This window comes from Homo sapiens, chromosome 10 (assembly GCF_000001405.40).
Source record: "Homo sapiens chromosome 10, GRCh38.p14 Primary Assembly".
Taxonomy (NCBI): Eukaryota; Metazoa; Chordata; class Mammalia; order Primates; family Hominidae; genus Homo; species Homo sapiens.
Genome location: NC_000010.11, coordinates 101,610,273 through 101,632,991, shown reverse-complemented (window position 1 = coordinate 101,632,991; position 22,719 = coordinate 101,610,273). Strand labels below are relative to the sequence as shown.

Here is a 22,719-nt window from a genome sequence, read left to right as displayed (position 1 = left end):
CAGCTACCTCATCTGACCCTGGTATTAATTGTGATAGTTTTTTGGTTGAGTCTTTTGGATTTTCTAGGCAGACAATTATATTGTCTGCAAGTAATTACCATGTATAGCTTGTCTTTTTGCATGCTTCTTGTTGGGTACCTCATTTTGTGAATATTGTATCATCATTTCTCAGGAAGTCTGAACCGGTCAGTTTTTGCTTTAGTACAGGGACACCTTGCCATTTCTTTATTTTAGGAGCACATGGAACAGTTGTTTAAGGGGCCATGTAGATGGAAATCCAGTTTAGAAACTCTTCTCCCTGCAGCTCCCAACACCTTATTAAATTCAATAGGATGAATGAACTTATGTTATTCCACTGTACTGAGAGTTTTTGTTTTTTATTTCCTTATTTTTTCCCCTCTCTATTAATTCTGTGCTCCCATTGCTCAAGTTTATAAGTTTCTGATTCTTGAGTGAATCAGAAACCTCAGGCTTCCTTTTGTCTAGCCTGGGCTAGGCTCTCCTATCCTTGGTTAGGCTGACCTTGTACCCTTCGTTAAAATAGAGAATAATCATTTTGTGTTTCTCTGTAGGCATTCTCTGGCTGTAGGAATGCACTCCTCCGCAGAAACCCTGCTTTGCTGGCCCTTATTTGTTGGAGTTGCAGTTGGGGGGCAGGGAGCAAGCAGTAAGAGCTCCAGCCTCTGGACACTATCCAGAGCCTGACCTAGGCACCTACTTGCACCATCCTGCCCTGATGCACTTGGGTTGAGAGAGGGTTGCGTGTGTGTGTGTGTGTGTAGAGAATATGTGTGGTATGTGTACTGGGAGAGGTGTCCCAGACCTCTGCCAGCTGTGGCCTAATTGGGAGAAAGAGGCCAGTGGGGCACCTCCCTTCTGATCTGGAGCTTCTTGGCCTAACCTTAAGCTACTGATCAGTCCCATCACTTCAGGGCAAGGTGTACCAGGGCCATGGTTGCTAACACTAGCTGTACCAGGTCGCTCACCTTCAGGTCTGCCTGCCCTTGGCCCTGAGTCATGGACAGGAGTGTTATGTTGTCTTTTCTCTTATAAAATGTAAATAATGGCTGGGCACGGTGGCTCACGCCTATAATCCCAGCACTTTGGGAGGCCAAGGTGGGTGGATCACAAGGTCAGGAGATCAAGACCATCCTGGCTAACACGGCGAAACCCCATCTCTACTAAAAATACAAAAAATTAGCCAGGCGTGGTGGCATGCGCCTATATTCCCAGCTACTTGGGAGGCTGAGGCAGAAGAATTGCTTGAACCTGGGAGACGGAAGTTGCAGTGAGCCGAGATTGCGCCACTGCACTCCAGCCTAGGCGACAGAGCGAGACTCTGTCTCAAAAAAAAAAAAAAAAGTAAATAATGTGTTTTTCCCTTTAAAAAACAGCACATGCTCATTAAATAATATTTGGAAAATGAAGAAAATTTAAAAGAAGAAAGAATTGCTTATCATTCTACTGCCCAGACACAATCACTTTTAACATTTTAGTTTTCTTCCACTCTTTCCTTTTCTCTGCATAGGCTCTTTTTTTTAGTAGTTGTAACAGTGCTGTTTGTACCCTGCTTTTTTCTCTTATAATAGTATATCATAAGTCTCTTGCTTGTATTATTTGGGAACATCATTTAAAAGGACTGTATAATATTCCATTAAGTAGATGGACCATCATTTATTTAACATGCTTTGGTCTTTACCCCTTGAAGGCAAGGCATATCCTCCTTTCCCTATTAACCCATTATGGTTCAGTCATCCGTGAAGTTGGCTAAGCTTTTGAATTTAAATTTTCTGTCTGCACTGTCTCTTTGAGGTAATGGTATGCCAGTTGCTGTGTGAAATGAAACTTCTTTTTATTTGCTTTAAACTTTATTAATTCAAGCTTTAGCTAGGCATCTTGTTCTTATTCGGCTTTAGTTTGATAAAAAAAAAAAGTTGTGTTTATCTTCCCCTGCCTGGTCTTGCAGCTTTGGTCCTAGGGCCTCCCTTCCTTCTTTCGAAACAGATGCCACTGTGGATGGTAGGTTCCACAAGCATGGCCCTGTCCACTCATCACAGATGTGACTCGAGCAGCTTCTGGAGCTGCGCTCTAGAGGGCATTCAGGTGGATGTTTCCCCACCTGCAAGGTGGGATGTTTGCTGGACAGATAACAAGATTTGCCTGTTTTTTTCCCCTTCCCATCACATCTATTTCCTTATCCCTTTGGTGACCCAGGGTGCCCTGTTGGCTGGATCTTAGGAACTGGTTGTCTCACACTTTCACCTGCCCCCTGCCTGTGTCTTTCCCCTTCCTGACTTCTGTTGACCTCCTGTTCCCACTCTACTGGTCTCTCCCTCACAGTGCTGTCACTGCAGCTATGCTCCTGGCTTCCCCTCACCGAGTGAGTTTTTGTGACCTTCGCACTGTATTCATGCTTTGGGACTTACTGCTGTAATGATGTCAGTGGCGGAGGTTAGCAGATGGCGGCAGCAGCAATGAGACCTGACATGTTCTAATGACTCCCTCCTTCCTACCCTTGCTGGCTGAGCCAATGGAGGGACAGAGGTTTCCTTGAGGTATTTAAGGAGGGGGCCAAGGGAAATCGGGGGGCCCCCAGGTGCCAATGAGGCCTGTGACCTTTGCTGCTATAATATCAGTGTTTCACAAGCAGGGCGGTTCGGGAGCCCACTTGCAGCCCATCAAAAATTGATTTAATTGCAATTTTTCCTCCAATTAGGAGCACTGGAGCCTGACTAATTGGAGTAATAGAGAGTAATAAGGCTCAGATAAAAAGCCTTCCTCGGCTGCCTTTGTATCTCGTGTCAGTGCCTGTCAGAGGTCAGAGAGCTTGCATATTCTATTAGGCAGCCTGGCCTTCATTTGTACAAATTAGTTTACCCAACAGTAATTAAAATGCCAATGCGGGTTGAAGAGAACTGAATACACTTGATGGGCATGTTGGTGAATGATGTGACAGCTCTGGTGGCCTCCCTTGCCAAAGTGTGTCAGCCCAGGCTCAGAGGCTGCTGGGGCCTGGGCCAGCTGGGCGGCTCTAGGCCAGCCACGGGGCACAGCTGCTGAGCACGCCACTTGTGCTGCCCTGCCTCAGAGCCACTCAGTTGCTTCTTTCTTCTTCCAGGTGGAGTCATTTGTTCATTTGTCCATTCATTCATTCATTCAATCAATAAGCATTTGAGTTTTCAATATGTGTCAGGCATTATACTAGATGCTGGAGATTCAAACAAGACTAACTCTTGAAGTGTAGCCCACATGAGAACTTCTGGGCGAGGGGTGGTATAATAACTTGGGTCTGGAATCAAGACTGACTGGGTTCCAATTCCAGTCCACTAGTTGCTACCTGTGTGAGCTAGAGCAAATTAATTACCTCCCAAAGCCTCAGTCTCCTCATGTGTAAAATAGGGAAAGTGGGGCTGGGTGCGGTGGCTCATGCGTCTAATCCCAGAACTTTGCGAGGCCAAGGTAGGTGGATCACTTGAGGTCAGGAGTTCGAGACCAGCCTGGCCAACCTGGGGAAACCCTCTCTCTACTAAAAATACAAAAATTAGCCAGGCGTGGTGGTGCGCACCTGTTAACTCAGCTACTGGGGGTGCTGAGGCAGGAGAATGGCATGAACCTGGGAGATAGAGGTTGCATGAGCTGAGATTGCACCACTGCACTCCAGCCTGGGCGACAGAGCAAGACTCTGTCTCAAAAAAAAAAAGGGAAAGTGGTACCTACTGCATAGTGTTATGAGGATTACATAGGATAATGCTTTTGAAACATGTGCTCAGCACCTGGCACATAGTAAGTGCTCAGTAAATTACTAGTGTTATTAAGAGGGCCTAAGCTAATGCAGAAGCAGGAGGAATCTACCTGCCTTTCAGGCTGTCCGTGCCCAACTAATTTCCCTTCTTACCTTGCTTTCCTCTTTTCTATGTCTTGTTATTTTTAATCTCTCAACTTGAATACACAAACTCTAACTCCCTGGCATCTTCCTCTGGTGAGACAGGCCCCTATGTCTACTTCTGGAGCCTGATGATAGTCTGCATGATGCCAGGTTTGCCTGAGCTAGGGCCAGGGGACGAGTAAGGCAGGTTGAAGATCTGGTTAATGTCTGGGACAGGGTGAGAAATTATAGAAGGCTGGCTTCTGGTAAGGGCTTTCTGTTCCAAAAAGAGCTTATGGAGTCAAAATGACTTTTAGACCCTCTAGCTAAGAGGGGATATGTGTACTTGCATGAGTGTGCCTGACTGTGTGTGTTTTGATGTTAATTTTTAGGTGTTGGTACCTCTCATCTCTTACCTGGTTGTGGTGCTTATGAGGGACTTCTCACTCTCCTGATACTGTATGCCTGTGTCATGTGTCATTCAAGTTTGAGCCTTTGGTATTTGGGAATTATTCCTTTAGGAAGCAGAGGGACCAACTTCACAGTGCACATGACTAGCTTTCCCAGCTGTGTAGGCTTTGGGCTCTGGAAGGCCCTCTTAGTTCAGTTCCACAAATTTTTATTGAGTGCCTTCTCTGGGCCAGGCACTGTGCTAGACAGTACAGTACCCAAGAGCCTCTAAAGGATTCTGATCTCAAAGGGGAGATGGGAAGATAAACCAAAAATGCCATTTGTCCCATGAGTATGGAAAGGACTAGAAGGATGGTCAGCCTACCTGGGGAGCCACCAGCTCTTGCCTCTGTCTGTTCAGCACAGATTTGATGTCCTTGTCCCTGGAATACCCCTGAGGGAAGAGATGGGACTGAGGGCAAAAGCCGTTTGAATTTTCTTTCTTTTCTGAGCCGAGCTGGGTTTTTCATCACTTTCAAACCCAAAATTGAAGTTATAGCAAAGGCCTTTAGTGGGGAAAAGTCACTGAGCAATCCCTTGGGAGGAGCCACGGAGGGAATGATACACGTTTTCATTTCATTGATCTCCAAGTATTTATTGAGAGCCTTTGACACGCCTAGCACAGGAGCCAGCACCGTGAGGGATGTGACGAGAATCTGGTTGAAGACATCTCGCGGATTCAAATCGAACAGGTTATCAGAGCACAGCATTTTGTTTGGGTTAAATCACCTGGGTTAGAGAACTGAGGCCAGTGAGACTGCCTGTGATGCACAGATCCCACCCCACCAGCCCCTTTTCAAAGCACTTTATCCCGTGAGTCTCAAGGGAGGAGTCTGAGTGTGGGGGTAACAGGTCCTGTGTGCAGCCACAGTATTTTAAGTCCATTCATGGAAGCTTGGCCTTTGCTTCATATTCACTTTCTGCACAATGGGAATAATAATATCTATCTTGTGGGCTCATTGTGAGATGTGAAGCACCCTTTGGGTGCTGGAGAGTAGTGAATTCCTTTTCTTCCTCTGCTCCTTGTATCTGTTGTACCCTGAGATTGCATGTGCGCACGCCCTTTCTAATCTTCTGACTTTGAGTGTGGCTGGTCTGTAGCTTTTGCTCATTCTTCCTAATGACCATGGGAATAAGGGAGTGGGGTGGGGGGCAAGAATGGCTGCAGGTAGTGGGGAGTAGTTGAAGGTGTGCAAAACTGTGTCTGCACCCAGCCTGACCCCCAAGAGTCCTGGGCAGGCCCCATGGTTTGGGTGTGAGTCCTGGTGAGTGTTTGCTCAAAATCTGCTTGACTATTGATGGTTTTTTACTGAGTGTTAAATTTGATTAAACTCTTAAGTCCTCCTAAGTGCCAGGAAGACACTCTGCTTTCTCTCCCTCTTTTTTCTCCTTGATTCATAGTGGTTAGGTGAGAGAAAAGGGCAGCTTTTGGAAAGAAACATTTATAGATGTCACATCTAGGCAGTTAAGAAAGCACTTCACAGGAGGCTGAGCGCCAGTGGTTCACACCTGTAATCCTAGCACTTTGGGAGGCTGAGGCAGGTGGATCAACTTGAGCCCAGGAGCTCAAGACCAGCCTGGGCAACATAGTGAGACCCCTGTCTCTATTTAAAAAAAAAAAAAAAAAAAAGGCCCTGTACAGGGTATGAAGGTGAGGGGCACTCCTCCTGGTGGCAGATGATCAGGGCCAGATGTGGGTGGGCCAGAATAGAGGAGGATAGGAGTCCCTGGGAAGGGGATTTACATCCCCACACCACCCTCATCCCTGCCACTCCCACAGCTCTGATCTCCAGCAGGATTAAAGTTGCTCCCCTCTCTATTGATTTACCTTGATGCTAATTTAGGCCTGTGGCCAGTCAGAGGCCTGCCATAGGCCTTAAGAGATGCCTGGCCGGGCGCGTTGGCTCACGCCTGTAATTCCAGCACTTTCGGAGGCCAAGGTGGGCGGATCACGAGGTCAAGAAATCGAGACCAGACTGGCGAGCATGGTGAAACCCTGTCTCTACTAAATATACAAAAATTAGCTGGGTGTGGTGGTGCATGCCCGTAGTCCCAGCAACTCGGGAGGCTGAGGCAGGGGAACTGCTTGAACCCAGGAGGTGGAGGTTGCAGTGAGCCAAGATTGCACCACTGCACTCCAGCCTGGTGACAGAGGGAGATTCCTCTCAAAAAAAAAAGAGATGCCTGTGTCTGTGCTGGCGCCCTTCACCTGGCCCCCACTCCTCAAATCTGGAGAGTCCAATTGCCTGCTCGAATGATTTCCAAGTGGCTATTATGTTTCCAGCCCAAGGTAATTGGCTTTACCAGTTATTAATGGATTACCCTAAATAGAAAAATGTTTGGGGAGGGAGGAGAGGGCAACACCTCCTGACTTTGTAGTTTGGTTCTTCAGTATCCACTGGCTGCTTCCCAGGCTGGCAGTCACTTGGGGCATGGCACAGTGACTGTTTTGGCACTCCCACTCTATAGTTTAGTGGCTGCTGGCAGCCTTGAAGAAGCTAGGATGATGGGGCATGTCCCTGGAGGAAGTCTTGGCTTGAGTCATGAAAGCCCCAGGATAGCTCGTATGGCCTTTTTATCAGCCTAGGGCTGAAGAGCAGACACCTGCCCTGCAATTTTTATTGTAAATCAGTGGTTTGGCCAGTGCCTGCCCTAACATCTCCCCCATCAGCAACTGGCAGGCCAACCTCCCCACCCCAGCCAAAGCCACTGGCTTCTCCAGGGCCCTCTCTGTGGAAATCCATCTCCTCACTGACATGCTTGGGATCAGAGGAGCCACAGGTGCTGGGCTGGGCCACAGCAGATGGGCTGTTGCCCCCACATTGCTAATGTGTTATTAGTATGTCCAGTCTTCCTTCCCCCCCATGAAAGACATGCAGGGACATGGCCCATTCCTAACACCACTGCTTTCAACTTGCTTGCTTGCTGTTTAAGTTTCAAGCCCAGGTTTCCTGAAGGCTTCCCCTCTCCACCCTACCAAATCCTCTAACAAGAGTTGTCTGGCTCATAGGTTCAAGTTCTAGGCCAGCACTACAGCCAGCCTGGCCCACTGCGTGGATCCTTTATACCAGGCTTGTGCCTCCATTTAAAGTGAGACTCTGCAGATTGTATATGTTGAGGTTTTTAGGGCTCTAAAGGGACACTCTGGGCAACAGGGTCAGCCTGCTCCTTCTCGTGTGCCTCTCGGCGTTGTTTGTTATTGGCCTCAGAGGACTCTGGCGGACTCCCATCCCACTCTCCAGAAGCCCTGGCTGCCTGGCTTCTGGGGACTCCGCCCCACCTATGTAGTAGCATATACCCATCCAAGGGATTCACTCATCTTTCATATTTTTTCCTTTTCTCATTTTGGTGCCTTTATACCTGCCCTGTGCTTATACCACATTACCAGATTCCCCCAGCTCTTAAAACCTTCAGGAATGCCCCTCAGCTGCTCCTACTTCTGACCACGGGCAGCACCTTCCAGCCCCAGCAACCTGTTCCCTGGAGCCCTTTTCTGTGCCCTGCCATTGTGCTCTTGGGATTCCTAAACAGGAGCCCGACAGGCTCGCTCTCTCCTGGGCTCAAACTTGTCACGTCTAGAGATCTGTTTTTATGGTGTGCAGAGACCACTCAACCTAGTCTGTGCAGCAGGCCCAGCTGTGGCTGAGCTCGTGGGTCTTCTGGCCAGGCACCACTGGGGGCTACACCCCTCACAGTGCTCCAAGATGTCTTCCCACAGCTCCTCTGATGGCTCCCTTGGCCACTTCTCTCATTCTGGCTTAACCCACAATCCCCTAGGGAATGAGCACGGCATTTCCCATTGTTAGCCATTTCCACCACAGGTTCTGACAAGCCAGATCTGACTTTGTTCTCCTTTTGTTTGGCAGCTCTTTTGTGACAGGGACGGCTTGTTGCGGGCACTTCTCACCCCTGAGAATCTGGGACCTCAACAGGTAAGAGATTCATGAGCCCATGCTGGCTTCCAGTCCAGGAGGTGAGGGAAAGCTTGCTGAGCCAGCCTCTGCCTCAGTTGGCTGAGTGGTCCAGGAGAAGGCTGGGAAGTGGTCTAGTAGGAGGCCTCTGCTGTGGTGCCTTCTCACATGGAATCATTCAGGGTTAGCTGGAGGAGACTGCTGAAGTAATTTATAATAGGTAAATAGTTTCATGTAGAATTTATGATAACAACAACAATTTGGATTTATGATACTCTTTCTCTGAGGAATGCCTATGTGGCTATATAAAATCCCATCTATCCCCAGAGATGATTTTGCTAAAATAAAGAAATTTTGAAGGTGGCCTACGGACCTATAAAAAGAATTATACAGAACAGTGAAAATACATGCAGGTTTTATTCACAATTCTCTGCCTTGGCAGGCTTGACATATTCCCATCTGATTATCTGCCATTCTGGTTTTTTTTTTTTTTTTAACTTTCTAATTTTGAAATAATTATAGATTCACAGGAAGTTACAAAAATAAGATGGAAAGGTGTTTGTGTAACATCTTACATAATATGTAATAATCAAACCAGGAAATAGACCCTGGTACCATCCATGGACCTTTATTCAGATTGCACTCTGTGTGTGTGTGTGTGTGTGTGTGTGTGTCTGTCTGTGTCTATGTGTGTCTAGTCCTTTGCAATTGTATCACGTGTAGATTCAGATAACCATCACCACAATTGAGGTACAGAACTGTTTGTTCCATCAGCACAAAAATTCCTCATTTACCCCTTGGTAGTCACACCCATCCTTCTCCCCTCCTCCTCTTCCCATTGTCCCTGATTCCTGGCAACTTCTTATGTGTTCTCCATCTCTATAATTTTGTCATTTTGCAAATGTTACATAAATGGAATCATACAATATGTCACTTTTTGAAACTGGCTTTTTAAAAACCCAGCATAATTCCCTTGAGACCCACAGATGTTGCTGCATGTATCAATAGTGCATTCCTCTTTATTGCTGAGTAGTATTCCATGGTATGGATATACCAAAGTTTCTTTTCCCCATTGAAGGATGTTTGGGCTGTTTTCAATTTTTTGACTATTGCAACTAAAGCTATTACAACACGTACAGGTTTTTGTGTGGGCATACATTTTCATTTCTCTGGGATAAATGCCAAGGAGTACAAATGCTGTGTTGTTTGGTAAGTGTATGCTTAGTTTTTTTACCTGCCAAGCTATTTTTTGGAGTATCTTTATCATTTTACATTCCCACCACCAATGTATGAGAGATCCAATTTCTTCACATCCTCACCAGCATTTGGTATTTCACTATTTTTTTTTCTTTTTTAAAATCTATATTTATTTATGTTTTTTAGAGATACAGGTTCTCATTATATTGCCAAGGCTGGTCTTGAACTTCTGGCCTCAAGCAATCCTCCCATCTCAGCCTCCCTAGTAGCTGGGACTACAGGTGTGTGCCACCATGCCCAGCTAATTTTTTGTGTGTTTTTTGGAGATGGGTTTGCCATCGTGCCCAGGCTAGTCCTGGGCTCAAGCGATCTGTCTGCCTAGGCCTCCCAAAGTGCTAGGATTACAGGCATGAGCCATGATGCCTGGATTCACTATTTTTAAACTATTCTAAAGGTGTTATATTTCATCATGTTTTAATTTGAATTTCCCTAATAGCTAATTATGTTAATATATTGTCATGTGTTTATTTGCCATATATTTCATATATGAATATTCTCTTTGGCGAAACGTCTGTTCATGTCTTTTGCCTGCTGGATTGTTTTCTTTTAATGGAACACTTCATGTATTTGCATGTCATTCTTGCATAAGAGCCATGCCAGTCTTCTCTGTATCATTTCCATTTTGGTATATGTGCTGCCGAGGCAAGCAGTTTGCTTTTTTTTACCATTGAGTTTTGACAGTTCTTTCTGTATTCTAGATATTAGTCCTTTGTCAAATATGTGATTTGCAAATATCTACCCCCAATCTGTAGCTTGTCTTTTTTTTTTTTTTTTTTTTTTTGAGATGAAGTCTCACTATGTCGCCCAGGCTGGAGTGCAGTGGCGTGATCTCAGCTCACTGCAAGCTCTGCCTCCTGAGTTCACGCCATTCTCCTGCCTCAGACTCCCAAGTAGCTGGGACTACAGGTACCTGCCACCACACCTGGCTAATTTTTTGTATCTTTTAGTAGAGACAGGATTTCACTGTGTTAGCCAGGATGGTCTCGATCTCCTGACCTCGTGATCAGCCTGCCTCGGCCTCCCAAAGTGCTGGGATTACAGGCGTGAGCCACCGCACCCGGCTGCTTGTCTTTTTATCCTCTTAACAGGGTCTTTTGAAGAGCAAATGTTTAAAATTTTGATGGAATCTAAATTATTGACTTTTTCTTTTATTGACTGTGCCTTTGGTGTCAAGTCTAAGAACTCTTCACCTTGCCCTAGGCCCCACATGTGGTCTGTGTCTTAAATGCCACATTTGACAGCACTGGCGAAGATGCTCTTCTCACCTGCTTCCTCAGTTGCTGTAGCTTTGTCTTCTCCATTTTTCTCCATCTCTGTAGGAAAGCATTAGCCATAGCTTTTTTTTTTTTTTTTGAAAAATCCATTCTATAGTCAGTCTTTTCAAAATTTTTAAAACAACATGAGATGTTTTAATCAATGAATCATGGTTTTTTTCCTTCAACATTCTCTTTTGATAGTCATCCAAGAACAGGGATGGGAAACTCCCTACTTCCCCAAACAACCATTCCGTCTTTTGGTAGCTCTGTGAGTGAGAATGCCCACCCTTTATCATGGATTGATTTGCTCCCTGAAGCTGTGATCCTAGACAAGAGACAAGCAAGTTGAACCTCTCTCCTGAAGAACAGACTTTTAAATATCTGAAAACCTTGGTTCTGCTCTTCCAGGGCCTCCTCTTCTTCAGGCCAAAAGTTCTAGGTCCTTCAGTTGTTTCTCATTAACATAGTAGATAAGTTAGCCATAACTTATCTGTGCCTCTTGCTGTGATCTGGGGCCCTCTGAGCTTCAGTTTCCTCATTTGTAAAGTGGAAATTAATTATCCCTACCTAACAGAACTGGTATGAACAAAATTATCGTGAAAGAGTTTCCCATACAGTGCCTGTCACCTTGGAGGCATTCAACTAATGCAAGCTGTCTCTTTCCTGCTCTTCCTTCCCACCCAAACTAGTACCTCGGAGTTTGTGGAAGCTTCTTTTTTTCTTGAGAGACAGGGACTTGCTCTGTCACCCAGGCTGGAGTGCAGTGGCATCATCACGGCTCACCGCAGCCTTGAACTCCTGGGCTCAAATGGTCCTTCTGCCTCAGCCTCCCAAGTAGTTAGGACTATAGACATGCCCCACCATGCTTGGCTAACTTTTAAATTTTTTTGTAGAGACAAGGTCTCGCTATGTTGCCCAGGCTGGTCTCGAACTCGTTGGCTCAAGTGATCCTCCCACCTTGGCCTCCCAAAGTTGTGGGATTATAGGTGTAAGCCATTGTGCCTGGCTTGTGGAGGCTTTTAATTCTTAAAATATCCGTGTCTTAGTGACTAGTGGAGGCGGAGGTGAACCTGCTGAACTCCTGGCACAGGGAAGGCTCTTGACAATGGGCTGTGGGTCACAAAGATGGGCATTCTGATGAAAGTTTTTACTTGGTTACATAGCTGGGCCTTGTGTTTGGCATCATCACCTGCCTGGGCCCAGGATGACACACAAGCCGGGTGGCGGGCTGGGTACACCACTGTGACCCAGCATCATCTCAAATGTTGGGTAATCTTTGAATGGCCTCTTCTGCCTATGGTTGCCTTGGTGAAGGGTACTCTTCGGTACAGATTTATGGTCAGGATGGAGTTCTAAGGCACCATTTATTTGACTGTTATTCTCTTATGAAACCCCTAGATCTCATTAACCCCAAACACTGGGTCTTTATTGAAACCAGAATGGACTCTAATGAGAATAGGTATGAGACAGTGATTAGCCAGGCATGGTGGCTCATGCCTGGAATCCGAGCACTTTGAGAGACTGAGGCAGTAGGATCGCTTGAGCTCAGGAGTTTGAGAGTAGCCTGGGCAATATGGTGAGACCTTGTTTCTTATCAAAAAAAAATTAAAAACAGAACAAAACAAACAACTATGGCCTCAGTTCTTCCTGGAGCCTGAGAAGAAACAGCCCTGCCCGCTCTGGCCAGCCTGTGGGCTCTGCTGCTTGTGGCAGGGTTGCCCTGGGCACCACTTGGCAGTGCCTTCTCTCCAGCCCCAGGTTCATCCACTGGGAGGAACCAGGCTTTGTTTAAACATCTGTCCTGTCCCCAGAGAAGCTTGGAGGACCAAGTGGTACAGCGATTGAGGAAAGATGCCCTGGTGGAGGCATTTGCTTTTGGTGGGAGGAAATGGATGGACAGGATGACTCTCTAGAGCTGTCTTTCCCAGAGAAGCCCAAGTAGATAATAAAGCCATGTAGAAAATAGGATTAAGGTAATGAACAGGCAGGACAAAGTTTGATCTTTCAGTAACACCAAAGCCTGACTGACAGGCCAATCCGAGAGGTGGAGCAGCATTGCCGGCAGGACTTGGGGTTGGGCGGTGAGCGGTGCTGGATGGATTCTTTGCTTTTAACCTGTCACTGCTGCAACTTGAGGAGCGCCTGGATTTTCTCTTTTATGTATGTGCTGGGGCTTGGGCAGAGAGCGGGGAGTACTGGAGGGGCAGTTTGCCCTAAGCATTGCTATACCCTGGATGATGGTGGGGGCTGGGACACATTCAAAGCTGTAGCCACCCACTGGGCACCAGCGCTCCCATCAGGGGAGCCATCACCCACGTCTATGTGTGTCTCTCAGCTACTCACCCTCAGACAGCCAATGCTGCTTCTCACAGAACCTGGACCCCTTTCAGGGTCACCATTGTTCCCTCAGCCCCTCATTCCATCAAGACCACTAGAGACTGTTCTCCTTGCAGGCTGGGCTGGAACAGGGATGGAGGGGCAGTTGCTAGCTGGAGCACACAGGTCAGAAGGCAGCCACAGGCACACAGCCGTTGCCTAAATGGCAAGGAGCTTGGCTGTCCCCTTCCCCCTTCCTCTTCTTTTTTTTTTTTTTTGAGACAGAGTCTTGCTCTATTACCCAGGGTGGAGTACAGTGGTGCTATCTCGGCTCACTGCAAACTCCGCCTCCCGGGTTCACGCCATCCTCCTGCCTCAGCCTCCCGAGTAGCTGGGACTACAGGTGCCTGCCACCGCGCCTGGCTAATTTTTTGTATTTTTAGTAGAGACAGGGTTTACACCGTCTTAGCCAGGATGGTCTCGATCTCCTGACCTCGTGATCCACCTGCCTCGGCCTCCCAAAGTGCTGGGATTACAGGTGTGAGCCACTGCGCCTGGACTTTTTCTGCCTTTCTGTCTTCTGGAACTGGGTACCATGGGGTTAGGCCCAAGGACAGAGGATTACTATCTAAACGAGAAAGAGTCCTTCACCCAACCTCAAAGTGCCAGAATATTTCTGCTTCTGATGGTAGGTGGTCTTCAAGCCCATTCCCTAACTCCCAAGTGCCAGGAATTCCGGTATCTTCATCTTGATTGACCAACCACTGAAGTATCCCTAGCTAGGCCCTGTGATCCCATCAGGCCCTGAGGAACTATGCCAAAGCCATCCTGCCCGAGCCTGGAGTTTGGAGGAATCAAGGCTCATCTTGTGTTCTCTATGTTTGAGCAGGACCCTTCCTTGGCTAGGCCCCAGGGAAGGTGCCTTGTGTTGACTGTCTGGGGCCCAGCTCCTGGCAGCTGGAAGGCCCAAGTGGGTCTGACTGGCCTGACATCACAAATACCCCCTTCCTCCATGGGCTTCCTCTTGCTGTGGGTTTTTTTTTTCTGCCAAGGGGCATTTGAGATGGACCTAGCACTGGTGCCCTGAGCACAGGGCACAGCTGGGCCCCTGATAGCCTGTGGGCAGGTGGGCTTCAGGATGGAGAGCCCTTTAATCCCAGACCTGAAGGTGTCATAGTAGGTCCAGCCACAGTCACAGCCCTAAGCCCCACTGGGATTGTGGGGTGGGGAAAGGGGTGGGGAGGTGGTTGGTGACCTGGCTGCTCCTAGGGTATTGAGTCCTTGGCCAGGTCCTGTGCTGCCCTGTGTGTGTGGCAAGCCCTGCACACATCCCATTGATTCCCCTTCCCCTTTGGGCCAGGGTCATCCCTGGTCCCATGTTACACCTCCACTTCCACCTCAAAGCTCCCAAGTTCCCCTTTTCTCAACAAAGGCAGGGGCAGAATAGGCTTCTCACCCATCCTAACAGATGCCCTAGATTTTTCTCCTCTGAGCCTGTGCTCAAGCCAACCCCATGCCCAGAATACCCCCTCTGTGCCTAATGAAACCCTGCTCGCTCTTCAATATAAACAGCACCTCCACCACGAAGCTCTCCTTGATCCTGACCCCTGTGGCTGGAGTTGGTGGCCCTTTCCACTGAACACAGTGTTGGAACACTGATAAGGGCCACCTGGTCAGCCATGGCTGTGGCCTGGTAGAACTCTCCCTCTGAGCTGGGAACTGACCTTGGTATCCTGAACTGAGCACAGGATATGAGTGAGTATCAGGGCATCTAATGACATTTGGAATAAATGGTAAGGGACATTTGGCTGGAGCCCCTTCTGTCTGGAGAAGGAAGCCGTGTCCTGCACACAGGCTGGGCCACTCTGAGAGCACTGTTAGTGCCCATCCTGCCCAGGTGTGGCTTTGTCTGCCCTGGCCCTCTGCCCCCACCTTGTGCAGGGGCCTGGCCCACAGTCAGGGTGATTACGGGAACTGCCCCTCTTTAAAGTACCTCCCTTCTCCTTTGAAAGCATTACTGATAGCTTTTTTTCATTCTCTTTTTTCTTTACCTCTTTAAGGAACCCTGTAATTTCTTTCTTTCTTTCTCCCCCCTTAACTTTTTCTTTCTTGTCTCCTCTGTCCCCCTGAACTCTTTGAAATTGGCTCTCTGCCTGCTGACACCAAACTGATACTTTGCGTTTCACTTCTCCTTATCCCTTTATGGCAACAGATGTTGAAATTTTGTATCCTTTTATCTACGCGGCTGCCCCTTCCTGTAATTATGGCCCCCTTGTTAGCAGTACAAAGTGGGCTGCCTGGCCTTTGAGCCATTGTGTCTGAACACATGTGCGTGGGTGGGTGCTGGGGGTGTGTGCACACAGACACATGCATGTGAGAGGCTGTATGCTTGAGAAGGCCCTTCCTTCTCACCTGATGGGGCTGAGGCAAGTGAAGCTTCCATAGCTCCTCCATTGTTAATGTTTAGAACCTATCTGTCCCCTTGATTCTCTCACTACCTCCACCAGAGGGCAAGCCTCTGGGCATCTGTGAGGTGGAAAAGCCTGCAAAGAGCTGGAAAGGGCTGGAGGTGACCCTGGGTAACTCTTGGGGCAAGTCCTGAGGATGTTGAGGGGCCAGTGATGGAGTGGCTGCATTGTCTGTGAAGGTGGGGAGTGCCACCACCCTGAAGCATATAGATCTAAGATTTACTAGGTGCGTGACCCCTGCGCCTTCATTTTCTCATCTGTAAAATGGGGTTAAGAAACTTACCTCCAAAGCCTGTTGTGAGGATTAAATGGGCTGATACGAGTAAAACACTCAGCACGTTGCCTGGTACACAGTATGGACTCAGGATATGTGAGCTGTTGCTGCGGTGGCTACTCTGCCACCAGGTAACCTAAGCAGCCGTCTCATCTGGCTCCAGCAGACACAAAGAGAACAACAGGCCCTTCAGCTTACTTCCCTCTGTTCCCGTCATCCTGAAAGCTGCTACCAGACGGGATTTCCAGGAGCTCTGCCTTTATCATGGATTCAGGCTCTGCCTTTCCTTGCTATACGACATTGTCACTTTTTGTCTGTGACTCTTGGTTTCCTTATCTACAATCGGGGCCTGGACTAGGACAATCACTGTTTGTTCAAAAGCCTCATGGCTGTCTGCCACTCACGGAGTTTGTGCCAGGTGAGGGATGTGCACCCTAAGGCCCACTGTGGCCTGGAGGCCAGACCCTGCCAGCACACTCCCAAGCCTCCAACCAAACCAGATTGCCAGCTGCCGCCAAAACAGCCTGGTTGCCCTAGTGCTGCACCTTTGTTGTTGCTGCTCCTGCCACCTGGGCCATCTCCCTATCTTGTCATTGCCTATGACAGCCCTGTCTGTCAGTGAAGAATCAGTCAACACCCCCAGCCAGAAATGCTTGCTTTTCTTAGCTGCCCCCTTGTAGAACTTTCCGTTGTTCTCTGTGGTACCTACCAACTCACATTTTGATTTGTTAGTTGGATATATGTTGCAGACTTCTTTCTCTCCCTGGATTGAATACTCCTTGAAGGCAGGGACAAAGTCTTCTTGATCAAGTCACAGCTTACATCTCCCTGTAGTTTCCATTAAGCACAATGCTTTGTATACAGAAGATGCTCGACTGAAGGAAGGAGATAGAAGGGAGGAAAAACCTCCCATTCTCTTTGCAGCCATGTTGGGCCCAGCTTATACCTTCAAGCCATCTGTCCCCTAGGCAGCAGAGATGGAAGGTGGTCAACTCTTTTGTCACCCTTCCCTCCTCTCTCTCTCTCCAAAAGCCATTGTTGCATTTCAAGGTAGCACATGGCAGACAGGTGCACAGGTAGGCACAGACTCAAACAGATGCAGGAATGAGCATCTGGGTCTCCAGAGCATAGGTCTCTGGAGCATAGGGTCTCCAGAGAACAGCATCAGGAATTCAGTATGTTAAAAATGACTGAAAAATGGTGTGGGAGCCACGGACATGCTGAGCTGTGGGTTGGGAGGTGGAGGAGGTGGTGACTCAGGAGTGCTCTAGTACAGGCGGCTGTTGGGGAGGCTGGGAGAAGTGCAGCAGGGCACCAGGCTTCCTAGCTCTGCAGACTTGGTGGGCAGGGGTAGGGTGCCAGGGACTGCCCCCTGTGCCCAGTCCAGCTTAGCACTCAGGGCCTGTCCCTGGCGGGCTATCCAGGTTTTTAGGGCCAGCCCCTACCATCAGTTAGCTGCCCCCACAAAGATGGTGATGGGTGTCAGCATTTCATGTAAATGTCCCTCCTCTCTGACTGGCAGGAAGTTCTCTCCCTCCAGCTGCAGTAGAGTCACCTGGGCAGCAGGATGGTTTGGGCCAGGGGGCCCTGACCTCTCAGGGGTGTGGCCGCACTCTGCTTGCTTCTTCTTGTCCAGGTAGTGGGGTTCCCAGGAGCAGCCTGCACACGGTCAGAGCCAAGGAAACAGGTCTCCCCCAGGTTGCCCCTCCTCAGCCTGTGTCTCATTCATCAGGCTCACACAGATGGCCCCATCTGTCTTTATGTTTCCCTGGGTGGAGAGAGAATTGCTGGACTTGACTCGGCGGAGGCTAGGGTGTGGAGGCCCCCAGCCCTTAGTGGATCCTGGAGGCCTGGGCTTTGTCCACGGGAGTTGGAAGGGAATGGACTTTTTGTCTGGCCCTCTATAGTGACAGGCTGGCCCTTGCTCCCGTCTTGGCCTGGGGCTCTGAGCAGCAGCCCTGTTCCCACACAAGCTGTGCAACAGCCAAGGCTCTGCACCCCCCTCTCGCCCCCCACAGTGAGAGGCCGAGAAGCATTCTTAACATTCTTTCCAGAGAAAAGGGGTGAAATGTCTGAATTTGGGGGGTCACCACGTTATACAAATTGCAATCTAATCGTTTTTATAAGAACACACTTGCAGTAAGAAAAGAGCCCAGGAGGAGGGGATGAGGAGACAGACAGCTTGTTTTGTCCCCTTTTCCCCCAAAGTTTGGGGCTATTGTCGGGCCAATCTCTCCCTCTACCAGAGCAGTTGAGCTAGAGTTTTCTAGTTAAATAGGTCTTGGGGTGGGGGCCGAGAAGGGCCCACGGTGCCATTTCTGTTTGTTTTCCCAAATCAAAGCCCCAGCAGGGCTCCTGTGGCACTGCTGGGTTGCTATTAGAAGAGATGGGCCTTTTCCCAGAGCCTGGCGTGTCAGTTTATGCTCTGAACTTAACCTCACGGGCACCACACAACAGAGCCTTGAGGGTCCTGGGCCCAGGGGCAAAAGAAATTGTATCTTTTCATTGGCCCATTTAAAGTGTGTGTGGCCATTTTAGAGAACCAGAGAACAGCACAGCAGAAAGAAACTTCTCAGCCCCTGCCAGGCTGTGCGGGCAGAGCAGGGGCTCTCAGGACTTGTGCTGGCCTCCAGGGCCTGGTGCTCACTGGGCCCTTGGCTCTCCCCCCGAGGGCAGGGACCCCTTGGGCTGTCCTGTATTTCTGACTGCAGATACTTACGGCCATGACATTTTCCAGTGGTGGCATGAATGCTGGGGTAGGGGCCCAGCTTGGCAGCCCAGTCTGGGTGGGCCTTTTATACTGCTGTCCCTGTGCAGCCCCATGAGTGCCCAGCTCTCCTTCCCTCTGAACCCAGGGACCAGGGTGGGCAGGTAGAGCCATGCTGGGCTTCAGTCCTCCCAACCCCCACTGCCTTTCATCTTCTATTTCAAACAAACATGAAATTACTTCTATAGATTAAAGGGGAGAGCTCCTCAATCATTCCTTAAGGCCTCACTAATGGAGGGGGCAGGGCCCCCAAATCTGGAAGAGGGAGGAGAACTGTGGAGCCAAACAGCCCCTACCCAGCATGCACCCAGTATACCTGTGAAAGAGAGAGAATGACTCCCCTACAGGGCTCTGGCCTGCCCAGGGTGGCTGAATCTTGGCTGGTGGCCCATCTGGGAAGGCAGGGCTTCTCTGGGAGCCAAGGTTAGCAGTCTCTAAGGGATGCTGATCTGGGGAGAAGGCCTTCTGCCTGATCCCTCTCAGGAGCCCCCCAACAGACAGAGGCTTGCCATCTTCTCCCCGCAGGCCCAGCTCTGGGCTACTGAGAGGAAGACCAGAACTTCCCTGAGGAGGCTGGTAGCAGGGGTGCTGCCTTGGGGATTAATTCCCCCCTGGCAGCAGCAGTGCTCCTGGCCAGGGCCCACTGCCCAGGGCTCAAAGGGGAAAGGTGGAAGGGGCAGAAAGGAACCCCCAGTCTCCTCCTTTGATTCCTTCGGCCTTCGGGAAGATGGCAGCTCTGTTGGGGAGAAGGGAGGTTGTGGGTCAGGGTCTCAGTGAGGTGGAAGGACGAGAGCTGACATCTGCATTCAGACATGTGGCTGGCTGCCTTGTCTGCCTCAAGCCCTTTGCTGACATGCTACTTGGGCCAAAAGGGCTGGTGAGCCATGAAGTCCCCTCACTCCATGCCAGGGCCTCTTACCTGGACATCCCTGTGAAGTGTCCACGGCCTTGTTTCTCCTGTCATGGCATGGGGAAAGCCCAGCGTCTCACGGGTAAAGGAAGCTAAGGCATCAGGCCTGGAGGGCGCCCCTTTTCCTTCATTTCCCCCAGTCATTCTGTGGAAACTCCATACTTGCACCCATCCCCTGGCTGCAGGGATTAGCGGGTGCACTTGATGTTGAGGGGTAGTTGCTAGGGACAGGAGGCCCCCCTACATAGTTGCTAGGGGTCTGGCATCAGGGCAAAGGGTCTGCCCACTGCCGCGGTCACGGAGGGAATTACACAGTCACAAAGAAATTGTTCTCAGTAATCTGCTCTCGGCCCCCGGGTGGGGTGAGGGTGGGGGGAGCAGGCTGGAGCCCCACAGGCTGGGGGCTGTGATCACGGAGGCGTGCTAGCCCCGGGCTGGGGGCCAGCTAGACCAGGAACACCAGGGACAGCTCGCTAAGCTGCTTTCTCAGCGATTTTTCTCCCCAGACACAAAGGTGTTTACTTGTTTTAACATCTCCTGGGACTCCCCTTCTCCCTTTGTGTGGTCTTTATCCCCAATGAGGTTTGAGCCCCAGATTACAGGCAGGAATTAAGGCATTGGACTCAGGCAGCTCAGAACTGCATGACCTGCAGGATCAAGATGTATAAAGTAACCAAGTGTGTGTGTGTGTGTGCATGTGCATGTGAATGTGAGGGGGGCCGACCCCTTCAGCAAGCCCCCCCATTCATTGTCCTGAGGAGGAGTGGCTGGGTGGGTGGCAGCCGGCACGCAGGTGTGATGGAGGGGCTGCTGAGGGCTGGGATGCTGGGGGAGGGGTGGGGCCTGGGACTGGTTGCAGAGGCCTCATGGCAGGGGTGAGGTGGGTAGGAATTGGGCATCTCCTCCCTGAGCCCCCTTCCTTGAGTCTCATTCTAGCTGAGGAAAGAGAACATTTCCCCAAGGTCTGATGCCTTCTGAAGGTGGAACGAATGTGTATGACCCACGTGGAGCAGCCTCTCACTCCGTCCTTCCCTTCCCAGTGGGCAGCTGATGACACACTTGGGCAGTGACTTTCCCCCAGGGGCTGGGGTGCTGGATGTCATGTATGAGTCCCCTTTCACACTGCTGTCCTGTGGCTATGACACCTATGTTCGCTACTGGGACCTCCGCACCAGCGTCCGGTGAGTGTGCTGGGCAGGGAGGACAGGTGGTGGGGGCCCTGCACCAATCCTGGTCCTTCCTCCAGTCCTGGGTTGGCCCATGGGAGAGGGCACAGAGACTCCATGTCAGGGCTGGGAAGGAAGAGGCCTGCAAGGTCACTAGACTTCCTACATTTGGGCAGCCCTGGTCCCAGTGGCTTGGCTATAGCCAACAGGCCTTGGCAAAGGCAGGCGTTTCCCAGAGCCTCTGGAGCCGTCAGGGTACTGTCACTCAATATTCTCTCCCAGCCTTTCTTGAGGCCTGTGTTACTTCAACCTTTCTTGAGTCCAGTGACAAGTAGCTGGCCATGTGAAAACAGAAGTGCAGGCATAATCTGCTGTGTCGTCTGGGCCATGGCGAGAGCCCTCTACAGAAGATGCTTTCTCCCATGAAGTTCGGTTTTTGATGAATCTGATGATTTAGGCTTCTTTCTCTTCCATCCCGGAATGGCTCCTTAACGCTCCCCTCAGCCACTCTAGGCCCAAGAAAGCTGGGGTAGAGGTGGAGGGTACCCTAAACCTCCCTCTGCTTCTCCTCTTCCTGGACAGGAAATGTGTCATGGAGTGGGAGGAGCCCCACGACAGCACCCTGTACTGCCTGCAGACAGATGGCAACCACCTGCTGGCCACAGGTTCCTCCTACTACGGTGTTGTACGGCTGTGGGACCGGCGTCAAAGGGCCTGCCTGCACGTAAGTGTCCTGCCCACCTCTTCTCCAGCATGCCAGGACTCATGATTATGGGCTGCATTTGGGAGAGGGTGAGGTAGCCAAGGACGTGCCTAGAAAGGGTTGGAAGAAGCCTACAATGGCACACGTCCCTCTTCCCCTGGGCCTGGGGATCCTGGGTTAGGGCACACCCATGTCCCACTTGGAAAGCTCTTACCACTTCCTGTGCCCTCCCTTCCAGGCCTTCCCGCTGACGTCGACTCCCCTCAGCAGCCCTGTGTACTGCCTGCGTCTCACCACCAAGCATCTCTATGCTGCCCTGTCTTACAACCTCCACGTCCTGGATTTTCAAAACCCATGACCGTCAGGGCCACCCCTGCCTCTGGGCCAGGGAAACCAGCTACTCAGGGACTTCTCTTGCCTGGAGGGTGCAGTGATAGCTCCTCCTCACTGCCCCACTGTGCTCCTGGGCCTGTGACCCCAGTGCTCAGGCACCTTGCACTAGAGGCTTCTGACTCCTGGGACTTTGGAGCTTACCAGAGATGCAGTCCCTCCCAGGAACCTGTTGGAGAGGCAGGACCTGCTGCTTTAGAGTGCGGCTGAACCCGGGCCTTGCGTCCCTGTTTGGCCAGAGCAAGGATCTGGCCTGGAGAGGCCCATCCTATACCCCTTATTAGAGCCATGACAGCCTACAGAGTGAGGTGAGGTGCTCCCACCTTCCCAGATGGTTCCTTTCTGCCCCTTCCTGGAAGGAAAGGTGAGGCTGCCAATAGCCTCCTGGCACCAGCCAGACCTCACCCTTGACCAACCTCTCGGGGCTGGGGGTTCATTCCTGGGGCACTGTGGCCTGGTTTTGCTTTGAAACCAAGAAAGAGCAAAGGGAACCCAGCAGTTCTGAGTGAGTTCTGAGCCAGCCCTACCTCAGGCTGGCTGTTGAGACATGCTACAATTTTCATTTTTGTAAAAATAAAGCTTGATTGTTCACAGATCTGGTTCCTCACTGGCTGAGTAGTCCTAGCAGGCTCCAGGAGAAGGGAACAGCAGACCCAAGCTCAGGGTTGTATGTGCTGCTGAAACGACAAGACCAGCCTCATGGCTCTGTGTCCCAAAGAACAAAGGTTTCTTTTTTTCAGGAAGAGTTCCCATTGATGACCTATCCCTTACCCTTTGGGGTATGGAGGGTCACCTGTGGGTTTGGAGAGGGGACTGTGGAAAGGGTACAGGCTGCTGGAAGCTCAGTTGTTGCCTGTGGTGACCCCTACCCCAACACACACCCTTGGCAAAATTATGACCCTGATTCTGGCTTTTTACCCACAATGCCTTAACATCCTGTGTTCTACTTCCAAGGTTTCTGTTTTGTTTTTTGTTTTTGTTTTTTT

The 22,719-nt window shown here is 50.0% G+C and overlaps 1 protein-coding gene and 1 pseudogene across 3 annotated transcripts in view, besides 5 other annotated features; one reads left to right on the top strand and one right to left on the bottom strand.

Annotated features, from left to right (window-relative positions):
- FBXW4 (F-box and WD repeat domain containing 4) overlaps positions 1-22,326 on the top strand; it is an 84,630-nt gene extending 62,304 nt beyond the window's left edge. For all 3 annotated transcript variants that reach the window (NR_136613.2, NM_001323541.2, NM_022039.4), the window contains 4 exons: positions 8,182-8,247; positions 20,515-20,655; positions 21,223-21,364; positions 21,582-22,326. Coding sequence is in view for 2 of the 3 variants with exons in the window: in NM_001323541.2 (NP_001310470.1) it covers positions 8,182-8,247; positions 20,515-20,655; positions 21,223-21,364; positions 21,582-21,701 (469 nt within the window). In the remaining variant the exon portion in view is untranslated. The remainder of the gene's footprint in view (positions 1-8,181; positions 8,248-20,514; positions 20,656-21,222; positions 21,365-21,581) is intronic.
- RNU6-1165P (RNA, U6 small nuclear 1165, pseudogene) lies at positions 10,027-10,133 on the bottom strand (annotated as a pseudogene).
- Positions 13,051-13,552: an enhancer, noted in NCBI's record as "H3K4me1 hESC enhancer chr10:103379197-103379698 (GRCh37/hg19 assembly coordinates)". NCBI's record gives its function as "activates a minimal SCP1, AML or CMV promoter by ChIP-STARR-seq in naive H9 embryonic stem cells {active_cell/tissue: H9 hESC(naive)}" and the evidence as "EXISTENCE:reporter gene assay evidence [ECO:0000049][PMID:30033119]".
- Positions 13,598-14,510: an enhancer, noted in NCBI's record as "H3K4me1 hESC enhancer chr10:103378239-103379151 (GRCh37/hg19 assembly coordinates)". NCBI's record gives its function as "activates a minimal SCP1, AML or CMV promoter by ChIP-STARR-seq in naive H9 embryonic stem cells {active_cell/tissue: H9 hESC(naive)}" and the evidence as "EXISTENCE:reporter gene assay evidence [ECO:0000049][PMID:30033119]".
- Positions 18,891-19,424: an enhancer, noted in NCBI's record as "H3K4me1 hESC enhancer chr10:103373325-103373858 (GRCh37/hg19 assembly coordinates)". NCBI's record gives its function as "activates a minimal SCP1, AML or CMV promoter by ChIP-STARR-seq in naive H9 embryonic stem cells {active_cell/tissue: H9 hESC(naive)}" and the evidence as "EXISTENCE:reporter gene assay evidence [ECO:0000049][PMID:30033119]".
- Positions 19,425-19,958: an enhancer, noted in NCBI's record as "H3K4me1 hESC enhancer chr10:103372791-103373324 (GRCh37/hg19 assembly coordinates)". NCBI's record gives its function as "activates a minimal SCP1, AML or CMV promoter by ChIP-STARR-seq in naive H9 embryonic stem cells {active_cell/tissue: H9 hESC(naive)}" and the evidence as "EXISTENCE:reporter gene assay evidence [ECO:0000049][PMID:30033119]".
- Positions 21,116-21,616: an enhancer, noted in NCBI's record as "H3K4me1 hESC enhancer chr10:103371133-103371633 (GRCh37/hg19 assembly coordinates)". NCBI's record gives its function as "activates a minimal SCP1, AML or CMV promoter by ChIP-STARR-seq in naive H9 embryonic stem cells {active_cell/tissue: H9 hESC(naive)}" and the evidence as "EXISTENCE:reporter gene assay evidence [ECO:0000049][PMID:30033119]".